This window comes from Homo sapiens, chromosome 6, assembly GCF_000001405.40.
Source record: "Homo sapiens chromosome 6, GRCh38.p14 Primary Assembly".
Classification (NCBI taxonomy): domain Eukaryota; kingdom Metazoa; phylum Chordata; class Mammalia; order Primates; family Hominidae; genus Homo; species Homo sapiens.
In genome coordinates this window covers 28536572-28545346 of record NC_000006.12, presented here as the reverse complement: position 1 = coordinate 28545346, position 8775 = coordinate 28536572, and the positions used below count along the sequence as shown (strand labels likewise).

General features: G+C 42.0%; 1 long non-coding RNA gene and 2 other non-coding genes across 3 annotated transcripts, besides 1 other annotated feature; 2 read left to right on the top strand and 1 right to left on the bottom strand.

The window, feature by feature from the left end:
• The first annotated feature begins 349 nt into the window (after positions 1 to 349).
• LOC107986586 (uncharacterized) lies at positions 350 to 2286 on the top strand. Its single transcript, XR_001744073.2, has 3 exons — positions 350 to 435; positions 915 to 1004; positions 2147 to 2286. It is a non-coding gene; the product is annotated as an uncharacterized LOC107986586 (long non-coding RNA).
• Positions 791 to 1373: an enhancer, noted in NCBI's record as "H3K27ac-H3K4me1 hESC enhancer chr6:28511751-28512333 (GRCh37/hg19 assembly coordinates)". NCBI's record gives its function as "activates a minimal SCP1, AML or CMV promoter by ChIP-STARR-seq in primed H9 embryonic stem cells {active_cell/tissue: H9 hESC(primed)}" and the evidence as "EXISTENCE:reporter gene assay evidence [ECO:0000049][PMID:30033119]".
• On the top strand, positions 2161 to 2233 carry TRR-TCG5-1 (tRNA-Arg (anticodon TCG) 5-1). Its single transcript has one exon. It is a non-coding gene; the product is annotated as a tRNA-Arg (tRNA).
• Positions 2287 to 7663: 5377 nt separating the features above from the next.
• On the bottom strand, positions 7664 to 7757 carry TRI-TAT3-1 (tRNA-Ile (anticodon TAT) 3-1). Its single transcript has 2 exons — positions 7720 to 7757; positions 7664 to 7699 (listed from the first exon to the last, which is right to left on the bottom strand). It is a non-coding gene; the product is annotated as a tRNA-Ile (tRNA).

Here is an 8775-nt window from a genome sequence, read left to right as displayed (position 1 = left end):
TAAAAATTAAGTAAAAGAAATTTCCTTCTATTTCTAGATTGTTAACAGTTGCATTGTGAGCAGACAGTGAAATTTATCCAATGTTTTTCTGCCTCTTTTGAGGTGAACTTATTTTTTTCCTTTAATTTCTTAATGTACTGAATCATAACACTGTTCTTCTCACGTTAAATTGACATCCTGCTTTTGGTATAAATCTGGATTTGTTATGATTTTTAAACATTGGTGGATTCAGCTTTTTTTTATTATTATTATTTCTGATTTTATGTTCGTTAATGAGATTGACCTGTGATTTTTCTTTCTCTCATTGTCTTTTTCTGGTTTGGTATTAGGATGAAGGTGAAAATGAGGTGAAAAGTCTTCCCTCTGTCACTACGTTTGGAAAAGTTTGTATCCAATTGAAATTATTCTCCCTGGATTGTTTTGAAGAACTTTCAGGTGAAAATATCTGGGTTTAGGACTTTCTCTGTAGGACAATTTTTGACTATTCAATTTATGTAACAGTTACTTGCTATTTCCTCTTGAATCGAATTTCATAACTGATAACTTTTGCAGAATTTACTGTTTTAATTTTCAAATTAATTGGGCAAAATTTTTTATACCATTGCACATACTGATCCATCTGCTGGATCATCTATTTGGCTTTTTTTTTTTTAAGAGAGAAGAGAGAGAGAAGTTTCGCTATGTTGCCCAGGATGGTCTCAAACTCCTGGCCTTAGGCAATCCCCCCCCGCCCCCCGCCAATTCCCCCCTCCAACTCCCCCCTCCAACTTCCCCCTCCAACTCTCCCCTCCACTCCCCCACCCCCCTACCGCGTCTTGGCCTCCCAAAGTGTTGGGATTACGGGCGTGAGCCACAACGTGCAGCCTCTTTCTGCACTTTTTTTCTTTTGAAACTAATTCTTTCTTATCTTTTAGGTCTCAAGAGTAAGTTTGGTTCCTAGGTGTTCACTGAACCCCTTCAGGCTGGGTTAAGAACAGATCCCTGCAAGCTGACACTTTGACCAGGTGGGTGAGAGAATCCGGGTGGTGCTTTCGTGGAGGGCAAGAGAAAGAGAGCGCAGCCTCCTCAGGATGCAGTTGCTGAATAGAAGAGCTTTTCAGTAAATATATGTTTCTCCAGCCCTTCTGGAATATGAAAAATCTGTGTAACAGACTTTGAGAGAGCCGGAAGCCAGGATGAAGAGGGAGGTCCCATAAAGACTCAAATCAGGCTCTCAAAGAGTTCCCAGTAATGGGGAATGAGACCACCAAATGCACCCCGTTGCTTTCACCACGCCTCCGGCACTCACAGGAGGGTGTCCACGCAGGCGTCGTTCGTTCCGGGGGCAGGCCTCGCGCGCGCCTTTCCTTCCTGTGTGTTTCCCACCGGCACATCACTAGTGGGAGGTCAGAATGCTGCCAGTCAAGGATGGCTGGGTCAAATGAAGAACTGAAATGAAAACAACCACTACGAAGTGGTTCGAACTGCAACTTTCCGGGCCTAAAGCCTGGCTCCTGCCCCCTCTACCACTCAGCGCCACCACCGAGTGGTTGCACAAGATGATACGCATTTTCTACATTATTCTCTAAGTGCCCGCTATACTCTTGGGCTTTTAACAAACGTCTCACTAGAGACTATTCAGCAGGGCCTAGTTTTGGTTACCAAGCGGAGCCAGGCCTAGGAAGATGCCTCTATTTAATGCTAATTGCAGCTGTTGCAGCTGAATTGGACGCCAAGCTGAGAAGGTCGCCTGAGGGGGTCTTTCTCGTTCACCTGGTGATTTTCATTTATTTCCAGAGGGTCTCAATGCTGAATGCAAACTGATCATGTGTAGTAGTGATTATAGAGAGACATTCAATGCTTTTCTTTTTCCCTTTCTTTACAACTTTTTGTCACCAGCTGAGAGAAGCAACGTGGTGCATGTGCAAAATTTGGTGTAACATTTGGTGTCAAGTTAAGGGTAGGAGTTTGGAGAAAATCCAAATACTCACTTTGCATTACCTTGTTATTGTGTGACACTGGCAAGTTATTTAGCTTTTGTATAATTTACACTATCTTTGAAATTAGGTTAACAACAGAAATCATGTCATATAAGTAGAACCATACAATATATATATAAAATCCAGGTTAATAGCCAATCTTACAACATTTCTCATATTTTTTGCAGTTGCTAAGCCATGGGACCACGTGGCCTAATGGATAAGGCGTCTGACTTCGGATCAGAAGATTGAGGGTTCGAATCCCTTCGTGGTTGATTCTCCCTTTTTCACTCTAAAACAAGACTGCACAACCTCCCACACCACAAAATTATAGCATCCAATTAATTTCCGAAAGTGAACGTGAATTCTCTGCAGTCCTTTCCCGTGGAAATGGGAAGTTGCATCACACACCTCTTTGGAGTTGCGAGTGATTCAGGTGGGGCCAGCACACCACCTTTCAGCTGTTTGTACTTTGGAGGAAACGCTTGGCCAGGCTGGCACACAGGTGCCTGGAGTCCGGGGTGGGATGGAGAAAGCGTGAGCCCTGGTCCGGGAGTATCCTCTTCCCGCCTGTTGAATGGGCTCAGGGAACTCAGTTGAATGCATCTTAAGGAGCTTTATTCACCTGGTCCCGCAGGGGGCGACCATCACGTTTCCACTGGTCCCCAGTAGGCGCTACAAGTTTGACTCGCAGACACACAAAAGAGTGTAACTTGAGAGCCTTGTCTTTTTGAGGTCAGTTTAAATATCGCCCCCTTTCTAAAATTTAGAGGAGCTGAAGAAACACACGCCTTAAAACCTGCTCATGATTCAGGTGGATGTGGTCGTTGACCGGAAGCTTCTTTCTCTACCGGAGCCCGCTCCTGGGTTCTCCCTCACGTCGCGGGGCGAATTAGACTGTCCGCAATATCTGAGGAACCAAGGTGTTAACAGAGACCTGAAAACAGGAGAAGAGGCGAGCCAGGAAAAGATCTTGAAGAAGAGGAAGCAGTTTCTCCAAAAGGCGAAAGAGAGCCTTTGTAATGCCCTTTATAATAAACCAGTGAAAGTCAAAACAATTGTCTGGTCAGGAAGATATAAAAAATAGAACAACAAAAAAAATTAAACCAGTAAACGTTAAAACAAAACAAAAGGGGAAAGAATCTGGCCAAATACATTTGAATACTTTTATGAAATGGAGAAATTATTAGGACGACATGACTATTAAGTACGATTCAAGAAGGAATAGCAATAATGAATAGTTAAACTACGAAATAAATTGAAAAAGTTGTCAAACATCTTCCTACTGAGAAAACCCCATGTCCCATCACTTACCCAGGGTTTACGAGGTCAGGAAACTGAGACCATCCCGGCCAATATGGTGAAACCCTTTCTCTACTAAAAATAGAAAAAATTAGCTAGCTGGACGTGGTGGCGGGCGCCTGTAATCTCAGCTACTGGGGAGGCTGAGGCAGGAGAATCGCTTGAACCCGGGAGGCGGAGGTTGCAGTGAGCCGAGATCGCACCACTACACTTCAGCCTGGCGACAGACTGAGACCCCTTCTCAAAACAAAAACAAACAAACAAGAAATCCAACAAGACACGATCTCCTCCATAGTATAGAAAAAAGAAAAAAGAGGGAAAAGACCCACAACTATACTTGCAGAATGGCTTCATGATATTTTTCCAGACAATGTACTCTAAACAGTTTTATTGAGGCATAATTCCCATGCAATAAACTGCACAAGTTTAAACTATGTGTAAGTTTTACACATATATGCAATCATATATGTATAACATGTGTAATCATGAAACGACCAGTACAATAAAGATAATGAACATAGACATCACCCCCAAAAGCTTCCTCCTGCCCTCTTGTAAGCCCTGTTCCCCTCTTACAACCAGATATGCTTTCCATCATTACATGTTCATAGTTTTCAGAATTTCATGTGAGTGGGATCATACAGTATGGACTCTTAAAAAAATTCTTTCATTCATTATCATTATTTTGAGGTTCAAGCAATTCTCTTGCCTCAGCCTCCTGAATAGCTGGGACTACAGGCACCCACCACCGTGCCCAGATAAGTTTGTATTTTTAGTAGAGACAGGGTTTCACCATGCTGGCCAGGCTCGCTTCGAACTCCTGACCTCGTGATCCACCCGCCTCAGCCTCCCAAAGTGCTGGGATTACAGGCGTGAGCTACTACGGCCAGCACTTTGCCAGAGACTTTTAAATGGTTGATTTGAAAAAAATAATTTTCACCAGTTTCACTTGGAAGCTGGTCTGCAGAGCTCTTTTCACTTCATGTTGAAAGTCAATCTCTGGAGGTACCTCTCATACATTACTCATCCCTGCATATATATTTCCCCTCCCTCATCCTTCCTACTTAATTTCATCATAATTCTAAATTCAGGGTTTATTGGTTATAAAAAATTATTCACAGCTGTGCTATATAGTACTATGATTATATTTCTTATGTGCCTTTTAGTTTTCTGCAAAGTTATTAACTGCCTTTTACTTTTTCTTTATCTTTTATGATCATGTAACCAATTCATTCTCAACTGATTTTCCTTGAATTTAAGCAACTCTCAATATAGTGAAATACCTCAAAGAACCTATCAATTTTAATATTTTCCTTAGTGGTCTCCTCTCTGGAGCCTTTGTATCCCTGCTTCAATCTGGACTGGTTGTTCTCTAGGCATGTTACACAGGTGTCTTCTTGGGGCTTTTCTTCCACCGACCTGGGATATACTTTGCCTTCTTCCTGTTTTGGACCCTTATGTTTTCCTTTTTTTAGTGTTGTATCATTTTGATGGAGAATAACCTCTAGGAATTTTCTGAGAGGGTGACTCTGTCTACAAATGGCTTTATAACATACTCAGTTTTGATTGATAGTTTGACTAATAAATTAGACAGGAAATTCTTTCTGTCATAATTTATGACATTGTTCAATTGTCATTTTCAACTCTTCCTTCTATCAAAGGAAACATTTCTAAATAAAATACACAGATGCTGCTTTCTGTTCAGATTTAGTTTAAAATCCAAAGCAAAAAAGAAAATTTTTTTTGCCTGATTCTGGTATCTTGCCTGGTGGGAAGCTACTCAGGAATTTCTGGAAAACAGAACTGTATACTCTGCTTCTAGCCACCATGATGACAAGTATGTGACACATAAGAATTGTCCGTTATGGAATTTTCTTGAAAAAAATATTAGGCAAACTGGAAACAAGCTACCAAGTATGACTGTCTGGCATCTCTAAACTACTACAATTATTTAAAAATAAATATTCAAATGTCTCTCAATATGGATATCAAACCCTTTTCTCCTTGTCACGGGTGACAAGGCAAATCAGCACACCTACCAAAAGAACAGCCAGCACTAGGAAAATGCAGCTAGAAAGGACTGTGGACTCTGCAGTTTAGTTTACAAAATCAGGCAAGGACTGTAGGACACCTCTATCCATTCATACCTCAACTCACTCTAGAGATCTGGAAGCTCTAGGTCTTTCAGAGCAGGAACTCTGAGCTTGGTGCAAGGACACAAGGAGTCAGAAGCTTACTCCAAGGATCAATTTGAACAACCCAGGATTCCAAACAATTCTGGAGTTTCCGTGTTGTGGCAAGAGGAGAGAAGACCCACTTCTTGGGGCAATGAGAAGATCCCCAAAAGTCATAAACTCCTAACTTACCCTAGGCTCTTACTTTGTGCTCAGAACTGTGCTTAGTGCTTATATCCATCATTTATATCTGTGTAACAAACCTTACTCAAATTTAGTGGCTTAAAACAACAATTGTTTCTTCTGTTTATAATTCTTCAGGTCAATGATTGGAGCTGTGTTTAGCTGGGCAATTCTTTTGTTGATTTTGTCTTGGGTCACTCATATGACTGTAGTCATCTGGCAGCTTGACTGAGATTGGATGGTCCAAGATGGTCCCACTAACATGTGTGGGGTGTCAGCTGGACTGCCTGGGATGGCTGAGATAGCTGAGACTCTTTCTCCATGTGGTCTTCCACCTAAGATGCTTGATGAGGTTTCCAGCATCTTGTACCAACTTGGTATGAAGGTTCTAAGAGGTGAGTGACAAGGTTTCTTGAGGCCTAATTTTAGAACTCCTACACCACCATTTCTACATCATTTCACAGAATTCTGTTGGTCAAAGCAAATCACAAAGTCAACTCACATACAACAGGGAGGGAAACAGACTTGGCCTCTTGATGAAAGCTGCTGCCAAATCACATTACAGACCTGGTGTGCTGGCTCACGCCTGTAATCGCAGCACTTTGGGAGGCTGAGGCAGGCGGACCACTTGAGCTCAGGAGTTCAAGAACAGCCTGGGCAATATGGCGAAACCCTGACTCTACTACTATAAAAATACAAACATTAGCCATGCATGGTGGCGCATGCTTGTAATCCCAGCTACTTGAGCAGCTGAGGCACAAGAATCGCTTGAACCCAGGAGGTGGAGGTTGCAATGAGCCAAGATTGCACCACTGCACTCCAGCCTGGGGGACAGAGCAAAACCCTGTCTTGAAAAAACAAAACAAAACAAACACACATACGCACACACATTACAGAGGGATATGCATACAGGGATGGGAGGAACTTGCAGCTGTTAATCAATTGTTAATTTATTATCAAACAACACGGTGAATAGCCCTCCTATTGATATGTTCATTGTACATCTTGTTTAAGTAAATTATCCACTATCACTTTTTTTTTTAAACAAGTGTTAATTCAAGTTGGTCTGTAGGTCTTGTTTTGAACCCACTTTTACCTGGTGGGCAGCTCAGGATGGGACCAGGGAGAATGTAAACATTTCAAAATGCAGCAGCAGCTAGAAAAGAACAGGTAGTGCTGAGCATTTGCACATGGGCAGTCATAAATCTGTGAAGAGGGAGAGCTGTATTGTGTCTCCAGGATGTCACAGATGTTTAAGATCCAGAGGGTGAGATTAGTGGCCCACATGTAGGCTTCCTGCTCAGCTCGGAGGCTGTAATGGTTTGGTTTATTTTTTGAGACTCAATACCTGTGTCTCTGTCATAACTGCAGACATCATAGGCTCATTAAGAATCCCAGAGGAATGAAGAAACTGAGGTAGGGAAAGCAGATTCAGAGACAAGAAAATTCCCACTAATACAGTGATTTTAAAAACCTAAGATCGTCCTTGTTTCACAGAGTTGAAAAGTCACACAGAAGTACTAGTTATGAATTTTTATATATGCCTGATCTATCTGGGCCTGAGACTGTGAAGGTCAGGTTTCTTTGTTTGAGACAGGGTCTCACTCTGTCACCCAGGAACCACAGGCACGCGCCACCACGCCTGGCTAAATTGCATTTTTTTGTAGAGACAAGGTTTCATCATGTTGCCCATGCCTGGTCTTGACCTCCGGGCTCAAGAGACCAGCTCTCCTCAGCCTCTCAAAGTGCTGTGATTATAGGTGTGAGTCACCACACCCGGTCAGTTTCTTATTGAAATGAATACTGTGAAGAGCTGTTTTAGCGACTGTCATACACTTGTTGCCGAGGTATTGGACAAAGGCAAGCATCAAAAAGGACCGTGTGACGACGTTTATCACCCATGACCTTAACCAGGGAATTTTAAGTCAAATCACGCGAGGGTTCTGAGTGCAGTCTAAATCTGAGTACATACATCGCTGAAAGAAATCTCAGGCGCAATAAGCTCTCCCTGTTTTTGAATTTCTACAGGTCGGAGAATAGTAAAACTGCTCCAGGTGAGGCTTGAACTCACAACCTCGGCATTGCTCACAGGTGCACTGTCTTATAAGTACCGCGCGCTAACCGATTGCGCCACTGGAGCCACAGAAATAATAAGGATTTGGAAAGGTATAAGAGAAGATGCTCTTACAGATTGACGATGAACTCTTTAAACATTGTTTTTTAAGGTATTAAATAATATGAACTTTAGGCACCTTCTAATACAGGACTTCCACGAATGGGATGAAAAGCAACAATCAAGAGAACCCTGGAATTAGCTGATCCGGAGCCCTTTTCCTTCCAACTCAGAGATGCCCTAGGGACTCAGGGTTGACGTCACCGGTACCTTGAATTTCTGCTCAGATTTTCCCACGGCTTCTCTAAAGTCAGACAATAATTTAAAAACATTTGAATGAAAGTCACATCGGTTCACCAAAAGCAGGAAGCTAAGATGGCTGCATGTAAAATAGACGTGTCAATCACTACATTCGGAGTGAAGTTTCCACCAAGAAGCGCGTATTCCGCCTGCACAAAACCAGCGAGAGCATTTTCCATTGTTTCGGAATCCCGCGGGCTTTTCATTTTCGCCATTCTACTTCCTGTCTCTCCACTCTGCGTTCGGCTACACTATTTGCTGCTTTACATGAAATGCCAACCTCCCACTCCCATCCAGACACTCGCTGATTTTAAATCTAATAATGTTAAAATACTTTGCTACTCGGAAACACTCAGAGAGCGAATATTTCCTTTACAAAAATCACTGTTTTCGACGTATAGATGCAACGCAGGCTAAGTAAATGCAGAAAAACAGTAATATAATTATTTAAAAATTTGCCAAAGTCTCATATCTTGAGAAATCCATTGTTTACATTTGTTATATTTCATGTCGGGCTTTTTCTATGAAGGTTTAACAGAGAAAGATTAAATATTTTTAAAATTTTTGTTAAAGTAATTGAACAACATAACAAAATGGCCCCTCTCACCAGCACATTCCTTTTTTGTTTTTTCAAACTGAATGTCCTTTGGCCTTCCTGTGATGTACAGTTATCTAGTGGGGTTCCCAGCACTGCATGGTAAACCACTTGAACCTGCCCACTTTTCTGAACTTTTGATCCCCTATT